The sequence below is a fragment of the Homo sapiens genome, chromosome 19 (assembly GCF_000001405.40).
Source record: "Homo sapiens chromosome 19, GRCh38.p14 Primary Assembly".
NCBI lineage: Eukaryota > Metazoa > Chordata > Mammalia > Primates > Hominidae > Homo > Homo sapiens.
In genome coordinates this window covers 12,345,854-12,373,845 of record NC_000019.10, presented here as the reverse complement: position 1 = coordinate 12,373,845, position 27,992 = coordinate 12,345,854, and the positions used below count along the sequence as shown (strand labels likewise).

At 44.6% G+C, this 27,992-nt stretch overlaps 2 protein-coding genes and 1 pseudogene across 7 annotated transcripts in view, besides 2 other annotated features; 2 read left to right on the top strand and 1 right to left on the bottom strand.

The window, feature by feature from the left end:
- ZNF442 (zinc finger protein 442) lies at window positions 67-27,902 on the top strand. Of its 6 annotated transcripts, NM_030824.3 has the most exons (6): window positions 8,163-8,313; window positions 8,603-9,044; window positions 10,175-10,292; window positions 20,732-20,858; window positions 21,776-21,836; window positions 22,528-27,902. In NM_030824.3, the coding sequence occupies exons 3-6, from the start codon at window positions 10,215-10,217 to the stop codon at window positions 24,143-24,145; spliced, it is 1,884 nt and encodes a 627-aa protein (NP_110451.1). In that variant the 5' UTR covers window positions 8,163-8,313; window positions 8,603-9,044; window positions 10,175-10,214; the 3' UTR covers window positions 24,146-27,902. The 6 variants fall into 6 exon arrangements, 5 of the variants coding, with proteins under 5 accessions (XP_016882806.1, XP_006722971.1, XP_016882805.2 ...); XM_017027317.2 differs by lacking the exons at window positions 8,163-8,313; window positions 8,603-9,044; window positions 10,175-10,292 and adding exons at window positions 67-276; window positions 1,160-1,228; XM_006722908.4 differs by lacking the exons at window positions 8,603-9,044; window positions 10,175-10,292 and adding an exon at window positions 7,950-8,043 and having other exon boundaries at window positions 8,207-8,313.
- RPS29P23 (ribosomal protein S29 pseudogene 23) lies at window positions 115-265 on the bottom strand (annotated as a pseudogene).
- Window positions 8,250-8,349: an enhancer, noted in NCBI's record as "active region_14052". NCBI's record gives its function as "activates an Ori minimal core promoter by ATAC-STARR-seq in GM12878 lymphoblastoid cells {active_cell/tissue: GM12878}" and the evidence as "EXISTENCE:reporter gene assay evidence [ECO:0000049][PMID:35858748]".
- Window positions 8,450-8,629: a silencer, noted in NCBI's record as "silent region_10148". NCBI's record gives its function as "represses an Ori minimal core promoter by ATAC-STARR-seq in GM12878 lymphoblastoid cells {active_cell/tissue: GM12878}" and the evidence as "EXISTENCE:reporter gene assay evidence [ECO:0000049][PMID:35858748]".
- The window catches only part of ZNF563 (zinc finger protein 563), a 29,914-nt gene continuing 28,377 nt past the window's right edge, over window positions 26,456-27,992 (top strand). The window contains exon 1 of the mRNA XM_011527700.3: window positions 26,456-26,532. The gene's annotated coding sequence lies outside the window, so the exon portion shown is untranslated. The remainder of the gene's footprint in view (window positions 26,533-27,992) is intronic.

Below are 27,992 nucleotides of genomic sequence, written 5' to 3'. Positions count from 1 at the left end.
TAATTTCTTTTTTTTTTTTTGAAGGTTTTTAAAAAATGTTTATTTTATATACAAAGAACTATCCTGGTTTTTCATTGGGTAGGTGCTTTGGATAACCCTTTGAAGGAAGGTCATTTAGTCCAACTTAATGAAACCTACATCCTTCGCATACTTACAGAAACACTGGCGGCACATATTGAGACCATATTTCCGGATCAGACCATGCTGGTTTGAACAGATGCGACAAGAGTGAGAACCGGTGTCTCCAGTACAGCTGGTGACCCATCTTGCGCTCAGGTAAAAGCCTTTCTTTCTTTTATTTTTAAAGACAGAGTCTTACTTTGTCACCCAGGCTGGAGTGTAATTGGGGGATCACAGCTCACTGCAACCTCTGCCTCCCGGGCTCAAGCGATCCTCCCACCTCAGCCTCCCAAGTAGCTGGGACTATAGGTGTGCGCCACCATGCCTGGCTAATTTTTTTTTGTTTTTGGTAAAGGCGGGGTTTTGCCATGTTGCCCAGGCTGGTCTCCAACTCCTTAACTCAAGCAATCCACCCACTGTGGCCTCCCAAAGTACTGGGATTACAGGCGTGAGCCACTCACTGCGTCCAGCCTAGGGCTAATTTCATGTGCAGCATCTGTCTATGTTTCCTGATGAAATGATGTAAGTGTCAATTGACGTAAGTGTCACCTCCATGGATATACATATTAATACAACTTTGGTAGATTGACGATTCCTTATCATAACTCACACTGGCTAGATATGCTATAAATGTAATTTAGAAAACTCAGATCCGGCTGGGTGCGGTGGCTGACACCTGTAATCCCAGCACTTTGGGAGGCCAAGGCGGGCAGATCACGATGTCAGGAGATCAAGACCATCCTGGCCAACATGGTGAAACCCTGTCTCTACTAAAAATACAAAAATTAGCTGGGCATGGTGGCATGTGCCTATAGTCCCATCTACTCAGGAGGCTGAGGCAGAAGAATTGCTTGAACCCCAGAGGCAGAGGTAGCAGTGAGTTGAGATCGTGCCACTGCACTCTATCCTGGGCGACAGAGTGAGACTCCATCTCCAAAAAAAGAAAACTCACATCCAAATTCACTCGTGCAAAATGTGCCAGAAAATTTGGAACATCAAAGAATTGTCATAAAAGGTGTAACTCTATTGTCTTTATCAGTGCCTCCTGCTTAAAGTGGATCTGGACTATGGATTCCTACATCTTACTTTCAGAAAAAAACACATCAAGGTGAGAGAATTCTGTAAATAAGTTCTCTTGACACATAAATTCATGAGTTGAATAGGTAGTGTTTTTTGATGAAATCAGTTAATAAAAATTTGTCTTTTATATTCCTCTAGATGATTGCATTGATTGAAGTGTATTTCTTTTTTCTCTTTTTTTTTTTGGAGATGGAGTCTTGCTCTTGTCACCTAGGCTGGAGTGCAGTGGTGCTATCTGGGCTCACTGCAACCTCCACCTCCTAGGTTCAAGCGATTCTCCTGCCTCAGCCTCCCAAGTAGCTGGGATTACAGGCGCCCGCCACCATGTCTGGATAATTTTTTTGTATTTTTAGTAGAGATGGGGTTTCACCATGTTGGCCAGGCTGGTCTCAAACTCCTGACCTCAGGTAATCCGCCCACCTTGGCCTCCCAAAGTGCTGGGATTACAGGTGTGAGCCTCCACCCCCGGCCTCTGCATGTATGTCTTCTTTGGAAAAATGTCTATTCATGTCCTTTGACTATTTTTTAATGGTGGTGTTTGTTTTTCTCTTGTAAATTTCTTTGTTTCTTATAGGTGGTAGATATTAGACCTTTGTCAGATGTATAGTTTGAAGATGTTTTTCCTATTTTGTAGGTTGTCTGTTTACTCTGTTGATAGTTCCTTTTGCTGTACAGAAGCTCTTAAATTTAATTAGATCCCACTTGTCAATGTTTTCTTTTGTTGCAATTGCTTTTGTTGTCTTTGCCATGAAATGTTTGCCTGTTCCTGTGTACAGGATGGTATTGCCTAGGTTTTCTTCCAGGGTGTTTATAGTTTGAGGTTTTACATTTAAGTCTTTATCCATCCTGAGTTGATTTTTGTATATGGTGTAAGGAAGGGGTCCAGCTTCAGTCTTCTGCCTATGGCTAGCCAGTTAAACCATAACCATTTATTGAATAGGAAGTCTTTTCCCCATTGCTTGATTTTGTCAGCTTTGTCCAAGATCAGGTGGTCATAGGTGTGTGGCCTTATTTCTGGACTCCATTCTATTCTGAATTTTTTCCTCATGGTTATATGAGTGTTTATTTTTGTCTGGAAGCTTTTGTAAGAATTTAAATCAACACAGTAATGAACTAGTTAATTGCTGCAATTTGTAAAAATATGCAAAATCTGAACATAAACCCCTGACACCACCTTTGACCCACTGCACCCTGTTTTCACAACTGTCTAGGAAAAAGTAAGTATATAATATTACTCCAAAGGCAGTTAATGTGAAAGGTTGATGAAGCATCTTACAGAAAGATGGTTGATTCTTCAGAGAGAGAACAGTCTTGTGATAATAGATTGTGAGTGTGTGTGTGCATGTGTGTGTAATTTTTAAAGGCATGAATATCATTCATTAGTTATAATCAGACATCTTTTTTTTCTTGTTTTTCAAACTTGCCAATTTGTCTTGTCAGGAAACACTACAATTATCACAAGTTGATTCAGGATTTTGTTTCATTGAATTACACTTGATGTTTGGCTTCTTTCTTTTTAGCCATGGGTTCCAGCTTCCAATTCATGATGCTTTTATATCTGGTACTTTTGTTACTGGGCCAGTCCTGGAAAAATAGCTGAGAAAGCAAAACAGCTGAAATGGCTAATTATTTTCTTTTTCTTTTCTTTCTTTTCTTTCTTTTTTTTTTTTTTTGAGATGGGGTCTCACTCTGTTGCCCAGGCTGGAGTGCAATGGTGCGGTCTTGGCTCACTGCAACCTCCGCCTTCCGGGTTGAAGCGACTCTCCTGCCTCAGCCTCCCGAGTAGCTGGGATTACAGGCGCCCACCACCACACCCAGATAATTTTTGTATTTTTAGTAGAGACGGGGTCTCACCGTGTTGGCCAGGCTGATCTTGAACTCCTGACCTCGTGATTCACCTGCCTCGGCCTGCCAAGGTGCTGGGATTACAGGCGTGAGCCACCATGCCCAGCCGCTAATTATTTTCTGAAAAAGTGGATAACATTTTTTTTTCCTAGTCTGTTTATCTTTAGGTATGCTAGCTTACTAGGACTCCAGATGGCCTGGGAGCTTCAGGACCCTTTGCCAATTATCAGAATAAGATAAGGCCTGCTCAAAACCAGAGTAAACCAGAACCAGTGACCCCTTGTTGCCTTTAGATCAGGGATCCCCAATCCCTGGGCCATGGATCGGTACCAGACTGTGGCCTGTTAGGAGCTAGGCCACACAGCAGAAGGTGAGCAGCGGGCGAGTAAGCAAAGCTTTACCTGTATTTACAGCCACTTCCCATCACTCACATTACTACCTGAGCTCTGCCTTCTGTCATATCAGAGGCAGCATTAGATTCTCATAGGAGCACGAACCCTATTGTGAGCTGCGCACACAAGGGATCCAGGTTGCATGCACCTTATGAGATTCTGGAAGATCTGTCACTGTCTCCCACCACCCCCAGAAGGGACCATCTAGTTGCAGGAAAACAAGCTCAGGGCTCCCACTGATTCTATAGTATGGCGAGCTGTACAATTACATCATTATATATTACAATGTAATAATATTTAAGTGCACAATCAATGTAATGTACTTGAATCACCCCAAAACCATCCCCACTCCAGTACATGGAAAAATTATCTTCTAAGAAACTAGTCCCTGTGCCAAAAAGGTTAGGAACTGCTGGTTTAGATCACTGATACCTTATTGTAAGATGAAAATCCCCACCCACAGAAGAAAGTCACGGCAGCTTTCTCGTCGTGTTTTTTTTTTTTTAGATGGAGTCTAGCTTTGTCGCCAGGCTGGAGTGCAGTGACACGATCTCAGCTCACTGCAACTTCTGCCTCCTGGGTTCAAGTGATTCTCCTGCCTCAGCCTCCTGAGTAGCTGGGATTACAGGCATGCACCACCACGCCCAGCTAATTTTTATTTTATTTTATTGTTTTAGTAGAGACGGGGTTTCACTATGTTACCCAGGATGGTCTCGATCTCCTGACCTCGTGATCCGCCTGCCTCAGCCTCCCAAAGTGCTAGGATTACAGGTGTAAGCCACTGCGCCCGGCCCATTGTTTTGTTTTGAGATGGAGTTTCGCTCTTGTTGCCCAGGCTGGAGTGCTCACTGCAACCCCTGCCTCCTGGGTTCAAGCGATTCTCTTGCCTCAGCCTCCCAAGTAGCTGGGATTATAGGCGTGCACCACCATGCCTGGCTAATTTCGTATTTTTAGTAGAGATGGGGTTTCTCCATGTCGGTCAGGCTGGTTTCAAACTCCCGACCTCAGGTGATCCACCCGCCTCGGCCTCCCAAAGTGCTGGGATTACAGGCGTGAGCCACTGCACCCGGCTGGCCTTTTGAACATGTGTGGTATAAAGAGACATGTTTATGATTTGTGAACATCTGAAGTTCCTTTCTACCCATATTACAAACTTCCCCTTCCCATATCTAGCTGCTTAAAATTACCCAGCTTCCCACAGCTCTAGGAGGAGGAAGTATCTTCGGAGCAAGAGCTGACTCTGACCCCTTCTCCTTCTCTGGCCAGAAAATAAATCCTGCTTGCCTTTTTTTTTTGTTCCATTAGGTATTCTTTCTTTGTGACTCATACAAACTAGAGAAAGAACTCAGTTTACCAGTGACACTTGTATTTCATACAAATATGGGAAATCTTTATATTTTCAAATTCTAATGCCTTGGCTTTTGATTGGAGCATTTAATTCATTAATATTTAAAGTCTTGAAGGAGAGAGCATTTTCACACTGCGCAGAGGACACAGGAGGGCAAGTTGAGCTCCCTCATCCCTAAATCCTTCAGTGCCTCTGCCCCATCACCAGGTGCTGATCCCACTTGTAACTGGCAAAAGGGTCTGGCTGCTCACCGCGTGTGGAAAGAAGTCAAAATAATAATGAGTTGTGATAAGAGGGAACGAGATTTCTTTATTATCTGTCCTAGCAGGGGAAGAGCAGAAAGCAATTCCACTGTTCAATTTGTGGAGAGAACCCAGGGGTTTTTAAAGAAAGGGTTTGGAATGCAGAAGAGGCAAGCGGGGCTAGAGGTACCAGGTGGCGTGACTTGCTCTGGTTGCCCCTCTTGAATTATTGTCCCATTTGGTGAAGGGACTTCTCCGTCGTGGATCCTGCCAGGTTATACATTAGTTGCAGTCAATCTTGTAGTCTGTTGCGGGAACTAAGGGACCCCGAATGGAGGGACCGGCTGAAGCCACGGCAGAAGAACATAAATTGTGACGATTTCATGGACATTTATCAGTTTCCAAAATTAATACTTTTATAATTTCTTACGCCTGTCTTTACTGCAGTCTCTGAACATAAATTGTGAAGATTTCATGGACATTTATTAGTTCCCAAAATTAATACTTTTATAATTTCTTATGCCTGTCTTACTTTAATCTCTTAATCCTGTTATCTTCGTAAGCTAAGGATGTATGTCACCTCAGGACCCCGTGATGATTGCATTAACTGTACAAATTGTTTGTAAAACATTTGTATTTGAATGATATGAAATCAGTGCACCCTGAAAAAGAATAGAATAACAGCGATTTTCTGGGAACAAGGAAAGATAACCATAAGGTCTGACTGCCTGTGGGGTTGGGCAGAATAAAGCCATATTTTTCTTCTTGCAGAGAGCCTATAGACGGACATGTGAGTAGGAGAAATATCACTGAATTCTTTTCCCAGCAAGGAATATTAATAATTGAGACCCTTCCAGGTGTGGTGGCTCATGCCTGTAATCCCAGCACTTTGAGAGGCCGAGGCGGGTGGATCACAATATCAGGAGATCGAGACCATCCTGGCTAACACGGTGAAACCCCTTCTCTACTAAAAATACAAAAAATTAGCCGGGCATGGTGGCACGCGCCTGTAGTCCCAGCTACTTGGGAGGCTTAGGCAGGAGAACAGTGTGAACCCAGGAGGCAGAAGTTGCAGTGAGCCGAGATTGTGCCACTGCACTCCAGCCTGGGGGACAGAGCGTGAGACTCTGTCTCAAAAAAATATATATAATAATAATAATTGAGACCCTGGGGAAGGAATGCATTCCTGGGGGTAGGTCTATAGATGGCTGCTCTGCGAGTATCTGTCTTAATGCAGTTGAGATAAGGACTGAAATACGCCCTGGTCTCCTGCAGTGCCCTCAGGCTTACTAGGATTGGGAAGTTCCAGCCTGGTAAATTCTAGTCAGACTGGTTGTCTGCTCTCGAACCCTGTTTCCTGTTAAGATGTTTATCAAGACAGTGCATGCACAGCAGGACACAGACCCTCATCAGTAATTCTAATTTTGCCTTTGCCTTGTGATCTTTTATTGCCCTTTGAGGCATGTGATCTTTGTGACTTACTCCCTGTTCGTACACCCCCTCCCCTATTAGAATCCCTAATAAAAACTTGCTGGTTTTGCAGCCCAGGTGGGCATCATGGAACCTGCCGATATGTGATGTCACCCCTGGAGGCCCAGCTGTAAAATTCTTCTCTTTGTACTCTTTCTCTTAATTTCTCAGATGGGCCGACACTTAGGGAAAATAGAACCTACGTTGAAATATTGGGGGCTGGTTTCCCCGATAGTAGTCACTCTTCAGCTGGGTGTGGGTTCTGTCTTTGAAGTAATCTTTTGTTGGAAAGAGAATTCCAGAGGTGCCTGGTACCTAACAAGATCCAACCCCTGAAGCTTCTAAGGAAATATATGACCAAATAAGAGAGCATGGTGTGTGCTTAATAAGTATTTAGGTAAATAAATGTGCACAGGCCAGGCGTGGTGGCTCACGCCTGTAATCCTAACACTTTGGGAGGCCGAGGCCGGCGGATTGCCTGAGCTCAGGAGTTCACGACCAGCCTGGGCAACATGGTGAAACCCTGTCTCTACTAAAATACAAAAAAATTAGCTGGGCATGGCAGCGTGCACCTGTAGTCCAGTGTGCTACTCGGGAGGCTGAGGCAGGAGAATTGCTTCAACTTGGGAGGCGGAGGTTGCAGTGAGCCAAGATTGAGCCACTACAGTCTGTCCTGGGTGACAGAGTGAGACTCCGTCTCCAAAAAAATAAAATAAAAATAAATGTGCATAAGGCATGGCAGTGTAGTATGGGAAAGGAAAGGGAGTGGAAGTTCACAGCACATTCTGAGGCTGTATTTTAAGATGAGAGGTAACATCTATGCAGTTTATCTCGAAGTTATTATCTTGAGATCAGGAGGGGAAAGAGGAAAAGGGAAAGAAGAAGAAAAAAAAGGTTTAAAACGTGGTTTGAGACTCAGCTGCTAAGCTGCTGGTTACACACTCTGGGACTCAACTTCAGGAGTCAGAATCTGCCTTCTAAGCTTGAAAATATGTTTAACCTCCTGAAAGGGGGTTTCCTGCTGAACTGTGGCTGAAATTTCTCTGAACTAATTCAGGTTTTTTCTTTTCCCTTCTTTTGATTCCTTTATAGAAGATTACTGCCATATAATTCCAGATTTTCCATGCATTTAACAATTTTATTTCATTGTTGATGTGTTTTTATTTTCTGGTCTGAGAATGAGTAGATTGGGAGATAAGGTGGGAGAAAGGCTTGACCATGGAGCCAGCAGTCTCATCCTAAATTCCTGATCCCTGGAGGACACCAGGCCTTCCCTCCTGCTTCAGTGTGGTTTGTGTGGCCTGGGCCTCCCCTACCGCTCTGAGGCCAGGGGATGGCTCCACTGGGCAGTGAGTCTCGAATTCCCAGCACACACTTGTGGGTCCCCGTCCAGGAAGAAGGAGCAGGAAGAGCCCATTGAGTACAGGCAGGAAATTCCGCTTAAATGCAAATGTCCCCTGGGAGGGGTCAGGTCACAGCGAAGGGAGGAAGCCCACCCTATCAAGGGCTGTGTCTGGAACCGCTTCATCTCGCTCCACTCAGCCGTGTAAGATCCTTCTTCTGTCAATCAGTTCCCTGGGGGGGCGGAATTTGGAGCTCTACCCAATCAGTGTTGGGGGCGAGTTCTTGGGAACTGCCAGTCAGGCGCGCTGCCGGGAGGAGGGTGGAGCTTTCTACACCCCTCTGAGCTCCCGCTCCTGGCTCTGTAGCTGAGAGAAGCCCTGGCAGGTCAGTGGCAGGCACTGTCACGCTGAGTCCTATGCTGGCAGCGGGGAACCTTGGGGAGAACACGGGACACCGCGGAAGCCGGGAAATGGTGAGTGTGCGGGGCCCGGCGTCCTGGGGCAGGGCGAAGGACTGGTTGGAACCGGCCAGAACCGGCTGTGGCGGGACCCGGGCGTCCCCGCGGCGACTGCGGGGTCTGTGGACCCGAGTTCCCCTGGCCCAGCCGGCCTTCAGTCCCCTCGGCCGCGGGGTGGGAGCTGGGGGCTGGGCCGGCAGCCGGGACCCCGGGCGTCCTGTCCCGTTTCTGCGCAGCAACTGCGGCCCCGGCTCCCGCGCCCTCTCTGGGGCAGCTCCATGCCCACAGCTCCGCGTCTTCCCAGATTGTGCGGCTGTAACCGGCACAGGTTCGCGGTCCGAGTCACTGCACCGAGACTCCAAGGCCTGCAGCAGAAACAGTTTAATAGGGGGAGAGGAGAGAAGACCCCAGTTCCGCCTCCATGAGAGGTTTGGGGATGGGGGTGTTTAGGGGTCTGGACAGGGGCGGCTGAAGTGTGGGGTCGCTGGTTGGTGGGGAAGTGACAGGCGAATCCTGGGACGGGAGGTGAAGAAACCGCATTCTCCTGCTGAGTGGGTTCCCTCGTGGGGTTTTCACCCTGCTTGGCGCCAGCCTTTCCGTTGGAATTCAAGATCTGAGAAAGAACTTGGGCAACTCGAGCAGCTCTCCGAGATCTTATCCCCAGGCACAATGCAGAAGCCGGCGGTCAGTGTCTTCTGTGACCTGACTCTCAGGAAGGCGGCCCCCGCGAGGCAGTGGGGCTCAGGGTACCTGGTTAATATCTAACTGCAATCAGAATCCAGATTCTTGCGTGGGGTTTGTGCACGGGAGGAGCTGTGGTCTGCGGGGTCCCCAGTCCCTTCTTTTCTTCCCAGGGTGACTGATTCCTCTTCGAGTTTTTCAGAGATGGGGGTAGCAGGGTCTCAAATCCACTACCCTGTTCCCTCATTCTAACTCCTCCTAGGGGTGGTAGTAACTCCCTTGGTTTCCAGAGCCTTACGCAGGCTAACTTTCCCTCCTCAGTTCACAGCAACATCATGAACTCCTCCCTCCTCCGCCCCACCCGTGCTAAATTTCAGAGTCCCAGTATTTTAATTTTCATTTTGTTTTCAGAGAGCAATGGATGGCTTCTTTTTTTCTTTCTTTCTTTTTTTTTTTTTTGAGATGGAGTTGTGCTCTTGTTGCCCAGGCTGGAGTGCAATGGTGCGATGTCGGCTCACCGCAACCTCCGCCTCCCGGGTTCAAGAAATTCTCCTGTCTCACCCTCCCGAGTAGCTGGAATTACAGGCACCCACCACCACACCCGGCTAATTTTTTGTATTTTTAGTAGCGACGGGGTTTCACCATGTTGGCCAAGCTCATCTCGAACTCATGACCTCAGGTGATCCGCCCGCCTCGGCCTCCCAAAGTGCTGGGATTACAGGCGTGACCACCGCGCCCGGCCGGCTTCTTAAAAGATTTGTGTTCCTGAACATTTCACATGTGAGGAAGCAGAGAATAACCTGACACTGCACTGTAAAAAACAAAAAAACAAACAAAAAAACCTTTGTGTCTCTCCTTTTCTTTCCCCTGGGTACGGATACCTAATCAACATTGAAAGTCCCCTTTAGAAACTTTATGGGGTGATGTGTTCTCAGCCCACTCTCTGCCTTTTCCTGGTTCTGTTTCAGAACTGCCTGGGGTTGACCCAAGATACACACAGCTGCCCTGTCTCTGGGAGGGTCCAGTGAATATCAGTCCCTGGGTCATTTCTCCCAGTGAGCAGCCTGAGGTGTTGGGGTGGGGCCTCACAGAGAACAGCTGGATGCCCTGGGTGGGATGGGAGGAATATTCTGGTATACCATTTCTATAAAAAGCTAACCCTTGGGACAATCACCTTGTTCTTCCCCAACCCCAGTTTCCATTCCTTGGGGACACACGGCTGGTCAGCCAGTTGAATGATTGTATTTGGGGGAGAAGACAGAAGTGATCTCTTCCTTCCTGACTCTCAGACTAATGAAGAGAGAAAACAATATGTAAGCACTGGAGAACCCACTCATTCCAGTTGTGCAAGAACCTCCCATTCAGGTCAGGTGTGCATGAGCCTGAAAAGCACACAGTGAAGTATCTCCTGGGGTGGTGGTGGGTGGTCACTGAGCACTTTACTGAGCAGATGGGGGTGACTAATGTCCCAGGAGATGGGATGACCTGACACCTGAGTTAGACTTGTTTGTGTTCGAGTCAGTGCTGCCCATCCCTGAGGTTGTCACATTGAAAAGAGATACTCACTCTTTTCAGCTTCAACGTTTTATTAACTATAAGATTAGAGATTGATAGAGAAAGTATTTCCATAGAGGCCAGAAATAGTTAGATTTCAGAAAACAGGTCACATATGTAGCCATCTATTCCTTTTTTTTTTTTTTTTTTTTTTGAGACGGAGCTTCGCACTGTTGCCCAGGCTGGAATGCAGTTGTGCGATCTCAGCTTACTGCAACCTCTGCCTTCTGGGTTCAAACGATCCTCCCATCTCAGCCTCCCGAGTAGCTGGGATTACAGGCCTGCACCACCACACCTGGCTAATTTTTTTTTTGTTTTGTTTTTTGTATTTTTAGTAGAGACGGGGTTTCACTATGTTGGCCAGGCTGGTCTTGAACTCCTGACCTCAAGTGATCTGCCTCCTCAGCCTCCAATTTTTTTTTTTTTTCCCAAGGCAGAAGAATTTTTCTTAGTACAGAACAAAATGGAGTCTCCCGTGTCTACTTCTTTCTACACAGACACAACAACAATCTGATTTCTCTTTCCTTTCCCCACACTTCCCCCACTTCCACTCGACAAAACCGCCATCGTCATCATGGCCCACTCTCAATGAGCTGCTGGGTACACCTCCCAGACGGGGTGGCGGCCGGGCAGAGGGGCCCCCCACCTCCCAGACGGGGCGGCCGGGCAGAGGCGCCCCCCACCTCCCGGAGGGGGCGGCTGCCAGGCGGGGGCTGCCCCCCACCTCCCTCCCGGACGGGGTGGCTGGCCGGGCGGGAGCTGTCCCCCACCTCCTGGAGGGGGCGGCTGCCGGGCGGAGACATTCCTCACTTCCCAGACGGGGCGGCTGCTGGGCGGAGGGGCTCCTCACTTCACAGACGGGGCGGCCGGGCAGAGACGCTCCTTACCTCCCAGACGGGGTGGCGGTCGGGCAGAGACACTCCTCAGTTCCCAGACGGGGTCGCCGCTGGGCAGAGGCGCTCCTCACATCCCAGATGGGGCGGCGGGGCAGAGGCGCTCCCCACATCTCAGACGATGGGCAGCTGGGCAGAGATGCTCCTCACTTCCTAGACGGGATGACGGCCAGGAAGAGGTGCTCCTCACTTCCCAGACTGGGCGGCCAGGCAGAGGGGCTCCTCACATCCCAGATGATGGGCAGCCAGGCAGAGATGCTCCTCGCTTCCCAGATGGGGTGGCAGCCAGGCAGAGGCTGCAATCTCGGCACTTTGGGAGGCCAAGGCAGGCGGCTGGGAGGTGGAGGTTGTAGCGAGCCGAGATCACGCCATTGCACTCCAGCCTGGGCAACATTGAGCACTGAGTGAACGAGACTCCGTCTGCAATCCCTGCACCTCGGGAGGCCGAGGCTGGCAGATCACTCGCGGTTAGGAGCTGGAGACCAGCCCGGCCAACACGGTGAAACCCCGTCTCCACCAAAAAAATATGAAAACCAGTCAGGCGTGGTGGCGTGCTCCTGCAATCCCAGGCTCTCCGCAGGCTGAAGCAGGAGAATCCAGCAGGGAGGTTGCAGTGAGCCGAGATGGCGGCACTACAGTCCAGCCTCCGCTCGGCATCAGAGGGAGACCGTGGAGGGAGAGGGAGAGGGAGAGGGAGAGGGAGACCGTGGGGACAGCGAGAGGGGGAGGGGGAGGCAGAGGGGGAGGGGGAGGTCCAATTTTTGTAGAAACAAAAAAACCCTTCATTTACTTTTTTTTTCCCCCAGTCTGTCAAGTAAGTTTCTCTGATTATTCAAATGGAATTTCAGGGCTTAACAGTGACAGTATGACTAAGGAAAAATGTTTGGTCGTACTTTCTTTATGGCTGCAGAAAAAGTGAACACATATTAACAGAAAATGTGGTACTTATTTGATTGAATTATAAAGATTTACCAAAACTTTAGTTTCTTTCCTTTTTAGGGTGGGGAATTTAGGACAGTGGATAACTGTTCTATTCCTATTATGTGTACTTGACAGATTAATGCTAAATGCTGTGGCACAGGACTTTCCAACAGCTAAAGAACTCAAATATTATTAATTTACTAAATGCTTTATTATTATGGAAGTAGTAATTAAATGGTATTTGTTGCCTGAAATGGGTAGATACTTGTGCTTTTCCTATTTAGTTTTATTTATTTTTTATTTTTTTGAGACGGAGTTTCACTCTTGTTGCCCAGGCTGGAGTGCAATGGCACAATCTCGGCTCACTGCAACCTCTGCCTCCCAGTTTCAAACGATTCTCCTGCCTCAGCCTCCCGAGTAGCTGGGATTATAGGCATGCACCACCATGCCCGGCTAATTTTGTATTTTTAGTAGAGATGGGGTTTCTCCATGTTGATCAGGCTGGTCTTGAACTCCCAACCTCAAATGATCCTCCTACCTCAGCCTCCCAAAGTGCTGGGATTACAGGCTTGAGCCACCGCTCCCAGCCTACCTTTATTTTTTATTTTTTTATTTTTTTGAGATGGAATCTTGCTCTGTTGCCTAGACTGGAGTGCAATGGCACAATCTTGGCTTACTGCGAGCATCACCTCTCAGGTTTATGTGATTCTCGTGCCTCAGCCTCCTGATTAGCTGAGATTACAGGCGCCCACCACCACCACGGGCGTGGTGGCCCACACCTGAAGTCGCAGCTACTTGGGAGGCTGAGGCAGGAGAATCACTTGAACCTGGAAAGTGTAGGTTGCAGTGAGCTGAGATCGCGCCACTGCACTCCAGTCTGGGTGACAGAGTGAGACTTCATCTATAAATAAATATATACTAACTAAACTAACTAATAAATAAATAAATGCTAACTAAACCAAGTAACTTTCCATGTAAGGCATGGGAGGAAGTGAGTGGGGTGGAGAGGCCTGAGGCCGGTGACTCCCAGTTGAGGCCAGTCTGGAGCCTGCAAAGGGAGGTTATTGAAGGCCCACTTAAATTGGTTCTTCCTGGGAGCCTCCGGATCACTCCAGCCATGGGAGAAGCCTTTTATACTTAAAGAAGCTACAGAGCATTAGAAAGCTGGGGCAGTTGGGGTGATTCCCTGTTTGAGGTTGTATTTGTTACTGTTGTGGGGCTGTTGCTAGACATTCTCAATTAAAATAAATCTGCATTTAGCTAAGAAGTGACTTCATTCTAAAGGAGTACTGCAAAACGGGAAAGCATCAAGTATAAGATCTGAGGCATCCCAGCTGGGCGCGGTGGCTCACAAGAGTGAAACTCAGTCTCAAAAAAAATAAAATAAAATAAAGATCTGAGGCATCTCTAAGGTTGGGCAGAAAAGTTCTTTTCTTGCTAAGGGAAGAGCAACCAAGATTAGAAGGAAGATGCGAAGGGGAGGGCAGGATGGAGGGTGAGAATCAGATTTTTTTTTTTCTTGAGAGTCTCGAGAGCTCTGTTGCCCATGTTGGAATGCAGTGGCGTGATCTCAGCTCACTGCAACCTCCACCTCCCGGGTTTAAGTGATTCTCCTGCCTCAGCCTCCCGAGTAGCTGAGACTACAGGCGCATGCCACTACGCCCGGCTAATTTTTTGTATTTTTGTAGAGATGAGGTTTCACCATGTTAGCCAGGATGGTCTCGATATCCTGACCTCATGATCTGCCTGCCTCAGCCTCCCAAAGTGCTGGGATTACAGGTGTGAGCAACCACGCCGGGCCGAGAATCAGATTCTAGTTCAGAGAGTGTTTTGCTCTAACCTAAGTCTGTTCTTAAGATGGGTTATGAAGGAGGGGTTTTGTGCTGGCTCAGGCTGAGGATGAGTCAAAGTTCACGGTCCTGGAGCAAGGAGAAAAACTTAAGCAAAGTTTTCTTTAGATGTATTTTGTTCAGTATGATCAGTGAAGACAAAACTGCTCAGCTAATCATAAGATAAAAAATGGGAATTTGGAGGTTCTTTATCTGGCTGAGTTATAGTTTAGAGAAGGGGGGAGGGGCATAATCTATGTAAGCAAAGGGTGCTTTTATTTTGTTTTGTTTTACGGCTGCTTGTCCAGAACACAAAGAACTGGGCTTGGGGAGTTGAGGTGATTTTCTGTCATCTTACTTATTTACTAGAATTACAGGCCTTGGGTAAAATTCAACATTATCAGCAGCCTGGTTTTGCATTCACTCAGTTGGTATAATCAGTACAAATTAAAAAGTCTGTCACAGCTGATTTAGAGAAAGACACCTTTTGATTCTGCCTGATGGAAAAAGGGTTTATGAATCTGAGAGTTTATCTGGGTCTTTGATATAATAAAAAATGTATTTGGATTTGCTGGGTGGGTAATGTCAGCCAAGAGGGGAAGGTTTGCCAATCCCTCCCCTTCCTTTGCTGTGCCTCTCTCTTTTTGGCTATTCTTGAGATATCCTTTATAACAAACTGACAACCTTAAGCAGAGTGACTTGCTGAGTTCTGTGGGTTGGCTTGGCACATTATTGACCCTGTAGAGGGAGTCATTGGTTTTATACACATTTGATTAAAAGGATGGTCTCTGGGGCTTGCCACTGGCATCTGCCTGGTGGCTGATTGGTTGTGACATTCAACCCTCAACTTGTGGGGTCTGTACTAATGTGGGGTGGATACCAGTTTTTGTTGGAGAATTGGTGTTCAGCAAATGCCATACATTTGTTGTCAGAAGTTGTGTGAGGTAAGACACTACAGGTCAGAAGCATAACTGACCTAGAGTTTGTATTTTGTTGCTCATTATAGATTCAGTGTGTATTTATCCAGTAGCATAGTTTTGCCTCTTTTCTGTTTTCAGTTAGTTAATGTTACCATTAATATGCACTCAGTATTATGCTGAGTGTCTCAGATATGCTACTGGGTATCTATCCAAAGGAAAAGAAATCAGTACACCAAAAAGATACCTGCACTTATCTGCATATTGCAGCACTATTCACAAAGCAAAGATAAGGGAATCGACCTAAGTGGAGGATTGGGTAAATAAAACGTGGTGTGTATACTCATTGGGATACTATTCAGCCATGAAAAAGAATGAAATCATGTCCTTTGTGACAGCAAGGATGGATTGGGAGGCAATTATCTTAAGCAAAACAATTCAGACACAGAAAGACAAATACCACATGTACTCACTTAAAAGTGGGTGAGTAGGCTAGGCACGGTGGCTCACGCCTGTAATCCCAGCACTTTGGGAGGCCAAGGCAGGTGGATCATGAGGTCAGGAGTTCAAGACCAGCCTGACCAAGATGGTGAAACCCCGTCTCTACTAAAAATGCAAAAAAATTTAGCCAGGCATGGTGGTGGGTGCCTGTAATCCCAGCTACTTGGGAGGCTGAGGCAGAGAATTGCTTAAACCCAGGAGGCAGAGGATGCAGTGAGCCGAGATCGCGCCATTGCACTCCAGCCTGGGCGACAGAGCGAAACTCCATCTCAAAAAAAAAAAAAAAAAGGTGGGCAAATATACCTCCCACGTGTAAATAATGTGTAAACATGGAAGCAGAGTGTGGAATGATGGTCAGTGGAGACTCTAGGAGGGTGGAGGATGGTGGATGATGGGCAGTTGCTTGGTGGATGCATGTGCTTTGCTGCAGTGATGGATGCACCGAAGGCTCTGACTTCATTCACCACAATGCACTATATCATTGTGGCAACATTAGACCTGTACCCCGTGAATATGTACAAACAACATCAAAATTTAAAAAGGAATGCACATTTCAGGATTATACTCTAGTCCTACTGAATTAGAAATTCTGGGGGTAGGGCCGGGCATGGTGGCTCACACCTGTAATCACAGCACTTTGGGAGGCCAAGGTGGGTAGATCACCTGAAGTCAGGAGTTCGAGACCAGCCTGGCCAACATGGCGAAACCCCGTCTTTACTAAAAATACACAAAATTAGCTGGGCATGGTGATGGGCACCTGTAATCCCAGCTACTTGGGAGGCTGAGGCAGGAGAATGGCTTGAACCCAGGAGGTGGAGGTTGCAGTGAGCCGAGATTGCACCATTGCGCTCCAGCCTGGGCGGCAGAGCGAGACTCTGTCCAAAAAAAAAAAAAAAAAAAAAGAAAGAAAAAGAAATTCTGGGGGTAGGATCCAATAATCTGTGTTAAGTCCTCCAGATGCTTGTAATGCACATAAAGTATGAGAACTGCTTCCCAGGAGCAGCTTGTTAAAATGTAATGCAAAAAAAATAGAACTAAAATGCAAAGAAAATAAACAAATTGGAATAATGAAAAATATTTAATTGACTCCAAAGACATGAAGAGATGAAAGGAGAGGGGAGAAAATACGATGAAAAGGTTTTTGATTTGTTTATTTGCTTCAATCTGTTTGACATACGCTGTTGTCTGAGGCTGTGGGTCACCAAGTCCTCACACATTTCACTGTTCATGGGACTTGAGTTCTTTCAGGTTAACCTTATGATGTTGTTGAAAATATTCTTTTTTTGTCCCTAAGTGCTAACACTTCATGACTTTTTTAACTCATTGGGATACTATTCATTGGGAAAAAATTGTTGTATTGTAGATTATGGATAGTTTAAATTTATGAGGAAATCCTAATAGCAGGTGTAGATCAGCTCTCAGACCATGTATGTGTGTGTGTTTATGCCTTGTAAAGATTTATGTTTTATATATCTCCATTGGTTTTTGCTGATTAGCATTGGTGTTGAGCATTTTTTTCTTTGTGGTCTTTCATCTTCTGTGAAGTAATTTTCTGTCTTTTTTCATGTTTAATTTATTTGGATATTATTGCCTTGCCTTGTTTCTCTCTCTCTCTTTTTTTTTTGAGACGGAGTTTCACTCTTGTTGCCCAGGCTGGAGTGCAATGGAGCGATCTCAGCTCACTGCAACCTCTGCCTCCTGGGTTCAAGCGATTGTCCTGCCTCAGCCTCCTGAATAGCTGGGATTACAGGCACCCGCCACCATGCCCGGCTAATTTTGTATTTTTAGTAGAGACAGGTTTTCGCCATGTTGCTCAGGCTGTTTTTGAACTCCCAACCTCAGGTGATCTGCCCTCCTCAGCCTCCCAAAGTGCTAGAATTACAGGGGTGAGCCACCGCGCCTGGCCTTTCTTTTTGTTTTTAAGCATACTGTACATACTAACCAGTTTTCACATGGAAGGATTGCTAGTATTTCTTTCCAGATGGTGGTTTATCTTTTTATTTCATTCTACAGTTTGATGGACTTTTTTTTGAGATAGAATCTTGCTCCGTGACCCCAGGCTAGAGTTCAGTGGCGCCATCACAGCTCACTGCAGCCCCAAACTCCTGGGCTTAAGGGATCCTCCCACCTCAGCCTCTCAAAATGCTGGAATTAAAGGTGTGAGCCACTATGCCTAATTTTAATATAGTTGAATTTGGAAGACTCCTCATTTGAAATCTACTTTCTTTTCTTTGTTTTGGGAGGTTGAGGGGAGACAGGGTCTCATTCTGTTGCCCAGGCTAGAGTACAGTGATGTCATCCAGGCTCTCTGCAGCCTCTGCTTCCCTGGGTTCAGGTGATCCTCCCACCTCAGCCTCCTAGGTAGCTGGGACTACAGGCATCAGCCTCCCAGGTAGCTGGGACTACAGGCATGTACCCCCACTCCTGGACAAATTTTTGTATTTTTTCTAGTGATCAGGTTTCACCATGTTGCCCAGGCTGGTCTTGAACTGCTGGGCTCAAGAGATCCACTTGCCTTGGCCTCTCAAAGTGCTGGGAATATAGGTGTGAGCCACCGTGCCCGGCCTTTATTTTCTTACTTAAGAAAATCCTCGGCCAGGCACGGTGGCTCATGCCTGTAATCCCAGCACTTTGGGAGGCTGAGGCGGGCAGATCACGAGGTCAGGAGTTCAAGACCAGCCTGACCAACATGGTGAAACCCCATCTCTACTAAAAATACAAAAATTAGCCGGGCGTGTGGTGTGCGCCTGTAATCTCAGCTACTTGGGAGGCTGAGGCAGGAGCATTGCTTGAGCCCAGGAGGCGGAGGTTGTGGTGAGCTGAGATCGTGCCATTGCACTCCAGCCTGGGTAATAAGAGCGAAACTCCGTCTCAAAAAAAAAAAAAAATTCTCATTAAATCTGAAAAAGACCTTGTTACTGTTTAAAATACTAGTTTTGTCTTTCTTTTTTTTTTTTTTTTGAGATGGAGTCTCGCTCTGTCACCCAGGCTGGAGTGCAGTGGCGCGATCTCGGCTCACTGCAAGCTCCGCCTCTTGGGTTCACGCCATTCTCCTGCCTCAGCCTCCCGAGTAGCTGGGACTACAGGTGCCCGCCACCACGCCCGGCTAGTTTTTTGTATTTTTATTAGAGACAGGGTTTCACTGTGTTAGCCAGGATGGTCTCGATCTCCTGACCTCGTGATCTGCCTGCCTCAACCTTCCAAAGTGCTAGGATTACAGGCGTGAGCCACCGCTCCTGGCCTAGTTTTGTCTTTAATACGTATTTTTTTTCTCATTTAATCTTGAGGTCTGTACATATTCATATAACTTTTTGTTCACCACAGCTAACCTTCAGTTGACTGGCAGGCTTATTGGTCACAAAAACAATTGATTAACACATATATTGTCTGTCATACGTATTGCGTACTATATTCTCACAGTAAAGTAAGCTAGAGAAAATAATGTTAATAAGAAAATAATGAAGATAAACTATATTTACTGTGCGTTAAGTTGAAATGAATCATCATAAATGTTTTAGCTGAGTGTGCTGGCACACGCCTGTAATCCCAGCTACTCAGGAGGCTGAGGCAGGAGAATTGCTTGAGCCTGGGAGACAGAGACTGCAGTGAGCCAAGATCGTGCCAGGGCACTCCAGCCTAGGCAACAGAGCAAGGCTCTGTCTCCCCCCTCCAAAAAAAAAAAAAATTCTTTATCTGTTCTTGTAAAGCCGTAACTTTGTTGGTGAGAAAGTTTTTAGCATTTTTATACATTTGTGACTTCTGTTAGTTTTGGGGATATCTTTTTTTGTTGACTACTAAAGTTCTGATTTAGCTATTTAGGGAATATTATCGATATTCATGAGAGGTAACATTGAGTTCTTTCTAAGAACATGTGCAATCTGTCCCCATTATTCTCCTTTGACATTACCTAATAAAAAGTTTAAAATTCTTGCATTGGGATGGTGAAGCATCTTTTATTAGTCTTTTGTCTTGCTTTGCTACATTTGATCTAGAGGAAACCTGTTGCTGGCTTCTAAATGTTCTCTCTTAGTGTAATCACATAGGATGGGCTGAATCCCCAAGTAACATGTTGCAATAAACATTTTGAAAAGTTATTTATGGATGTCATTCATTAGAGACTCAGTGCCCAGAGTGTTTCTTTGTGTCTACCTTAGTGTGTTTTTTGTTGCTTATAACAGAATACCTGAAGCTAGATGATTTAAATGAAACAGTGTATATATTTTGTGGTTCTGGAGGCTGGGAAGTCCAAAGTCAAGGCTGGATATCTGGTGAGAACCTCCTTGCTGGTGGAGACTCTGTCGAGTCCCTGTGTGGCACAGGGCGTCATGTGATGAGGGAGCTGAGTGTCTAGCCCAGGTCTCTTTCTCTTCTCATAGGGACATAAGTCCAACTCTGTCACTACCCATTTATTCTTTAAGCCATTAATCCAAGAATGGATTAATCTTGATTTTCTTGAGATCCAAATCCTCAAGACCCAATAACCTCTTCAAGCGCCATCTTTCATTACTGTCACATTGGGGATTAAGTTTCAGCATGCATTTTGGTGGGGACAAACATTCAAACCTAGCATTGGCTGATCAGCTATGCTCCCACTGCTGAGCATGTAACAAAATTCCAAGCTCCCGAAGAGAAGGTAAGAGTTAAGCAAATACTATACTTTCTCCATAAACAGTTTATGCACACTCAGCACCTGTTATTAGTTATGTTGGTGGAGACCCTCTATAAATCCAGTGCCTAGAGTACACGAAGGATCCAATTTTGTTAACCAGCATTTGTAAATATATACAATCTCAGGACTCCTATTCTTGTACAGTAAGTAGTAGGACTTTGTCACGACAGGAAATACAGACCCACTATAAAGTAGACATTAGGGATGATGCCGGCAATAAAATTCACTCATTTAAGTCATCAAAAAGAGACTTGTTCCTATTTGACTATTATGTGTACAACAACATTCAATTCTAGCATCAGAATTGCTGTGTTGGAGAAAGTGATTGTAGACAGAGAATAAGGGTGGATTTACCATGTCATTGAATCATTGCTTAGAAATAATAGTATGCAAAGTTTATGAAGTGGGTGTAAATTTTTGGTACTATCAGTCTCAGCCTTACTCCTTTGTACATGTGGGGTGTTTCAGGATTCAGTAGCCTTTGAGGATGTGGCGGTGAACTTCACCCAGGAAGAGTGGGCTTTGCTGGGTCCATCACAGAAGAGTCTGTACAGAGATGTGATGTGGGAAACCATTAGGAACCTGGACTGTATAGGTAAAAATGACATTATGTCTTCACTTAGTCAATTAGAGACATTTTTTTCTTGGTCATCAATGCTGTTGAATGATTTGAAATACCGAAAGGGGATATAGTTGACCCTTCAACAACACAGGGTTAAGTGGTGCTGGGTCCCCAACCAGTTGTACATATTCATATAACTTTTTGTTCACTACAACTTAACCTTCAGTTGACTGGCAGGCTTATTGGTCACAAAAACAATCAATTAACACATATGTTGTCTGTCACATATATTGCATACTATATTCTCATAAAAATGTAAGCTAGAGAAAATAAATGTTAAGAAAATCATAAAGAAGATAAACTGTATTTACTGTGCATTAAGTTGAAATGGATCATCATAAAGGTTTTCATCCTCATTGTCTTCTCATTGAGTAGGCTGAGTAAGAGGAGGGATTGGTCTTGGTGTCCCAGGGGTAGCAGAGACTGAAGAAAATTCATATATAAGTGGACTTGTGAGCCAGGTGTGGTGGCTCACGCCTGTAATCCCAGCACTTTGGGAGGCCGAGGCAGGCAGATCACCTGAGGTCTGGAGTTCAAAACCCACCTGAAACCCCGTCTCTACTAAAAATCTAGAAATTAGCTGGGTGTGGTGGTGCACACCTGTAGTCCCAGCTACTTGGGAGGCTGAGGCAGGAGAATGGCTTGAACCCAGGAAGCGGAGGTTGCAGTGAGCCGAGATTGCACCATTGCACTCCAGCCTGGGCAACAGAGCGAGACTCCATCTTAAAAAACATAAAATAAGTGGACTTACGAGGTACAAACCTATGTTGTTCAAGAGTCAGCTACAATTCAGTGAATGAATCATGCATGATTCCATTGTACATAAAATCTTGTAGTGTTTTTAGAATTTTATAATAATCTACAGTGTTTTTTCTGTGTCCACCTTTTAGGAATGAAATGGGAAGACACAAACATTGAAGATCAGCACAGAAATCCCAGGAGGAGCCTAAGGTAATTTGCACTCACAAGAGAAAGACATATATCTGTGGAGCAATTCTTAGGATGACAGGAAATTATACAACTAGGCAAAGAAAATGAACGAGCCCAGTACAAACTTATTTATTCCTATACAATTTTCTCCAGAAACATATACTTAAATGTGATATAACTATTCAGTGTTTGCAAAAATAGTTCCCTTAGAAACAATATTAAGAATTCGGCTGGGCACGGTGGCTCACGCCTGTAATCCCAGCACTTTGGGAGGCCAAGGCGAGCGATCACAAGGTCAAGAGATTGAGACCATCCTGGCCAACATGGTGAAACCCCGTTTCTACTAAAAATACAAAAATTAGCTGGGCGTGGTGGCGCATGTGTGTAGTCCCAGTTACTCGGGCGGCTGAGGCAGGAGAAACACTTGAACCTGGGAGGCGGAGGTTGCAGTGAGCTGAGATCATGCCACTGCACTCCAGCCTGGCGACAGAGCGAGACTCCATCTCAAAAAAAAGAATTTCATGTGTTTATCATTGTCAAGAAAACAGCTGGGGTCGAGTTATCTTGTACAACATTCAGTCCATTCACGTTCAAGCAGTGCATGAAGCCTACACGTTGCATGATGATGTAAAAATGTAAATCCAGTACCTACTAATAAACATAAAGTCATTTATAAATAAACCTTTATTAATATACTTCTCATGTTTTACAGATGTCATATCATAGAGAGATTTAGTGAAAGTCGCCAGCCAGATAGTACTGTGAATGAAAAACCTCCTGGAGTAGATCCATGTAAAAGCAGTGTGTGTGGAGAAATCATGGGTTGTTCATTCCTTAATTGCTATATCACATTTGATGCTGGACACAAACCAGATGAGTGTCAGGAATATGGAGAGAAGCCACATACACATAAACAATGTGGGACAGCCTTCAATTATCACCACTCCTTTCAAACACAGGAAAGACCTCACACTGGAAAGAAACGCTATGATTGTAAGGAATGTGGGAAAACCTTCAGTTCTTCGGGAAACCTTCGAAGACACATAATAGTACAACGTGGAGGTGGACCTTATATATGTAAGTTGTGTGGGAAAGCCTTTTTTTGGCCTAGTTTATTTCGTATGCATGAAAGAACTCACACTGGAGAGAAACCGTATGAATGTAAGCAGTGTTGTAAAGCCTTCCCTATTTACAGTTCCTATCTAAGACATGAAAGAACACACACTGGGGAGAAACCATATGAATGCAAGCACTGTTCCAAAGCCTTCCCTGATTACAGTTCCTATGTAAGACATGAAAGAACTCACACTGGAGAAAAACCCTATAAATGTAAACGATGTGGAAGAGCCTTCAGTGTTTCCAGTTCCCTTCGAATACATGAAAGAACTCACACTGGAGAGAAACCCTATGAATGCAAGCAATGCGGGAAAGCATTTCATCATCTGGGAAGCTTTCAAAGACACATGATAAGGCACACTGGAGATGGACCTCATAAATGTAAGATATGTGGGAAAGGCTTTGATTGTCCTAGTTCACTGCAAAGTCATGAAAGAACTCACACTGGAGAGAAACCCTATGAATGCAAGCAGTGTGGGAAAGCGTTATCTCATCACTCAAGCTTTCGAAGTCATATGATAATGCACACTGGAGATGGACCTCACAAATGCAAGGTATGTGGGAAAGCCTTCATTTATCCCAGTGTATTTCAAGGACATGAAAGGACTCATACTGGTGAGAAACCCTATGAATGTAAAGAATGTGGTAAAGCCTTCCGTATTTCTAGTTCCCTTCGAAGACATGAAACAACTCACACTGGAGAGAAACCCTATAAATGTAAATGTGGGAAAGCCTTTATTGATTTCTATTCCTTTCAAAATCATGAAACAACTCACACTGGAGAGAAGCCATATGAGTGTAAGGAATGTGGGAAAGCATTCAGTTGTTTCACATACCTTTCTCAACATAGAAGGACTCACATGGCTGAAAAACCTTATGAATGTAAAACATGTAAGAAAGCCTTCAGTCATTTTGGTAACTTAAAAGTCCATGAAAGGATTCACACTGGAGAGAAGCCATATGAATGTAAGGAATGCAGGAAAGCATTCTCTTGGCTCACTTGCCTTCTGCGACATGAAAGAATTCACACTGGAAAGAAATCTTATGAATGTCAACAATGTGGTAAAGCCTTCACTCGTTCTCGTTTCCTTCGAGGACATGAAAAAACTCACACTGGAGAGAAGATGCATGAATGTAAGGAATGTGGGAAGGCACTGAGTTCTCTCAGTTCCTTGCATAGACATAAAAGGACTCACTGGAGAGATACTCTATAAATGTGGAAAAGCATTCATTAATTTTATTTCATTTCAGAAACGTGAAAGAAATCACATAGGAGATAAGCCTCATGAATGCAAACACATGGTAAAGCCTTAAGATGTTTCTTTTGAATATGGTTATCCCCTAACCATATGCAGGGGATTGGTTCCAGACCCCCTAAGCATACCTAAATCCACAGATGCTGTGTTCCTTTTATAAAAGGACATTTGCATGTAACCTATCCACATCCTCCTGCATCCCATAAATCATGCCTAGATTACTTAATTTTTCACCAACCCAAAGCTTTTGTAAAAGTAAAAATAAAAAGTAGGTTACTAAAATACCTCATGTGTTGTAAAAGCTATGTAAACAGTCATTTTATTGTATTTTTTTTAGAGAATCGTGATATGAAAATAATCCTGTGCTGTTGAGAACAGACCCAACCATCACAGGCCTGCCTACATAGTACATGTCACCTAGAATGTTACAGTTTCTTTTTTTCTTTTTTTTTTTTTTAAGACAGAGTTTCACTCTTATTGCCCAGGCTGGAGGGCAATGGCACAATCTCAGCTCACTGCATCCTCTGCCTCCCGGGTTCAAGCAATTCTCCTGTCTTAGCCTCCTGAGTAGCTGGGATTACAGATGCATGCCACCACACCCAGCTAATTTTTTTTTTTTTTTTTTTTTTTTTGTATTTTTAGTAGAGACGGGGTTTCATCATATTGGTCAGGCTGGTCTCGAACTCCTGACCTCAGATGATCTGCCTGCCTTGGTCTCCCAAAGTGCTGGGATTACAGGCATGAGCCTGTAATCTACAGTTTCTTTTTTTTCAACAATCATAGATTGCTTTTATTTAATGACCTGGAATCGTGTGTTAACACTTATGAAAATCCTGATCCTTCTTGCTTGATAACCCAAGGATGATGATGATGATCATGATCATGATGATGCTGATTACAGTATGGTGCCTAATATGATTCACTGAGGTGACTAGATGGGTGGCACTGTAGATAAACAGTGAGACATCAGGCTCACTTGAATCTTGACAGGATGTCAGGATGATCATCTGTGTTGGATGAACCAGGTTCTGATTGCAGATGCTGAGTTTGGAAGAGACTAAATAATACTAATGTCAGAATCTGTTCAGCATGAGGGCTGAAGATGTGTACACACTGAAGGATCTGTCTTCATATTTGCAGATATTTAGTTAGAAACATTGTTGTAGGAAGCTGGTTCTTTTTCTTTAAATATCCTTGCAGTGTTTGTTGGCATGTTATCCCTTGGGTGACACAGAGGTTTTGTTCCATTGAAGGATCTTACTTGAGGATGGCAATCTTTATTTTATTTTTATTTTTATTTATTTATTTATCATTTGAGACTGAGTTTCGTTCTTATTGCCCAGTCTGGAGTGCAGTGGCGCGATCTCGACTCACTGCAACCTCCACCTCCCAGATTCAAGCGATTCTCCTGCCTCAGCCTCCAGAGTAGCTGGGATTACAGGCACTCGCCACCATGCCTGGCTAATTTTTATTTTTAGTAGAGATGGGGTTTCACCATGTTGGTCAGGCTGGTCTCGAACTCCTGACCTCAGGTGATCCACCTGCCTCGGCCTCCCAAAGTGCTGAGATTACAGGCATGAGCCACCGTGCCCTGCGAGGATTGTAATCTTTAATACTTTTCACCTTGCAGAGGCTGTAGATGCCCCAAAAACTGCTGCACATGTTTCAAGTGTCACATCTTTGATATTACCTCTTCTAAGTCTTCTGCATCATCATTATCATCATTATCTGCAGAGAATTTCAGTATATCTTCGAGTTCCTTGTTAGTATTTATGCTCTCTTATTTGTGTTGGGATAGAAAGATTAAGGAAAGGAGAGATGAGAAGGTGGCTCAACAGTTGAGACAGTTTTATTGGGAGTAAACCTGAGAAGGGCTTCCAGCGGCAGGGTCAGGTGCAAACTTCTCTTACAGCCTGAGGCTTTTTTAAAGGGCCCAGTGGAGAAGTGTGCTTTGAAACAAAATTCTGTTAGGGAGGGGTTGGGGAAGTCCTGGCTGTTCTGTTACAGTTAGGGCCGTTATTCTCTGTTGAAGTTATGGGCGGGGCTGACATTTTCAGTTTTGGCCAGGTGGCCAAATAGAAACTTAAAGCTTAGGATGGTGGAGTGTTATAAAGATGGCGGTGCTCTTGTCCTGTCAATGTGTTCCTCAATAAAGTCTTCAAGCATGTCATAGATTGTTTTCCCCACCAACCTCCCTTGCAGCATTTGAGATATTCCTGATACTTCATCAATAGTGGAGAAGCTCCTGAAATCATTGACTTCCTCACTCCATAATGGTTTCCAACACCCAATGAAGTAGTAGGAGGAAAACATGGGTTTCTTCTCCTGGAAGCCTCCAGAAGAAGGTATTTCAATATGGGGAGAGTGGTCAGCTGTGTCACAGGTCACTGAGAATTTGAATAAGACAAGGAAAAAGGGTTGACTGTAGATTTTGGCAAGTATTTGGTCACTGGGGGCCTTGATAAGAGCTGTTTCATTGAAGTATTCATGAGAATAACTTGTAGTGAAATATATCTCAAATAGACCTCCACGATGTTGCCTAGAGGGCAGTGTTACCCTTTGAACTACCAACATTAACCACTGGAACTGCTCATCTGGAAGCCTCTTACAGTGCTGGTACAAACTAGAATACACAAAGGAAGGGATCATTTTATACGTGTTACTGTGCTACTTGCTCTATCTACTTAGTGTTCCATACATGTAATTACCTATTCCATCCTATCCCAAAGTACTGAAAATCTCCATTCTACTTTCTCTGTCTGTGAATTTGACTATTCATAGAGAGAGAGATATGTGGAAGTATGCATGTGTCCTTCCATGTCTGGCTTATTTCACTTAGAACGTTTTCAAGGTTTATCCATGTGGTAGCATGTATCAGGAACTCATTGTTTTTGTGTCTGAATAAATTTCCACTGTATGGTTAAAGCATACTTTGTTTATCCATTTTTATGTTGATAAACATGGGTTGTTTCCACAGTAATAATTTGACTGCTATCAATAAGGCTGCTGTGGATGTGGTATGTCTATGTCTGTGTGAGTCCCTGCTTTCAATTCTTTTGGATATATGTATCCCTAGGAGTGTAATTGCTGGTTCACAGAATAATTGGTGTAAACCTTTTTCAGGAACAGGTATATTGCTTTACAAAGTGGCTACAATGTTTTACATTCTCTCCAGCAATGCATAAGGGTTTCTATTTTCCACATTGTCACATATACTGGTTGTCGTATTTTTTTCATAATAGCCAATTAATGGTTCTGTACTGCTTTTTCATTGTGGTTTTGATTTGCATTTCCCTAATGACCAATAATAATGCACATTGGTTTTTGTTTTTGTTGGTTGTTTATATATTTTTTGAACCAGTTTGTTTTAAAATCCTTTGCTCATTAAAATTGAGTCATTTGTGTTTTGTTGTTGAGTTATAGGAATTCTTATTTAAAATTTTTAGTTTTTAATATTTAGAAAATTTCTTTCTTTTTTCAGCTCCCAAGTGCTTGGAAGAGAGTTGTAGGAATTCTTTATACACTGTGGGTATTAAGCCCTTATTTGATATGTGATATGCAGATGTGTTCTCCCTTTCTGTAGGTTTTCTTTTCATCTTGAGATTGTCCTTTGGTGCGCAAAAGTTTTTAATTTCGATGTAGTCCAGTTTATCTTTTATTGGTTGTCTGTGCCTTAAATGTCGTATCCAATAAATCACTGCCAAATTTAACAAAATTTTCCCCTATGTTTTCTGCTAAGTAATTTTTTTTTCTCCCTCTGTCACCCAGGCTGGAGTGCAGAGGCATGATCTTGACTTACTGCAAC

Excerpts from the sequence above, each read along its gene's own strand:
- ZNF442 (NM_030824.3), top strand. The coding sequence starts at position 10,215 with ATGATTGTATTTGGGGGAGAAGACAGAAGTGATCTCTTCCTTCCTGAC. Across the intron at positions 10,293-20,731 it reads ATGAAGAGAGAAAACAATAT|GATTCAGTAGCCTTTGAGGA; the intron begins GTAAGCACTGGA and ends GGGGTGTTTCAG. Across the intron at positions 20,859-21,775 it reads TAGGAACCTGGACTGTATAG|GAATGAAATGGGAAGACACA; the intron begins GTAAAAATGACA and ends TCCACCTTTTAG.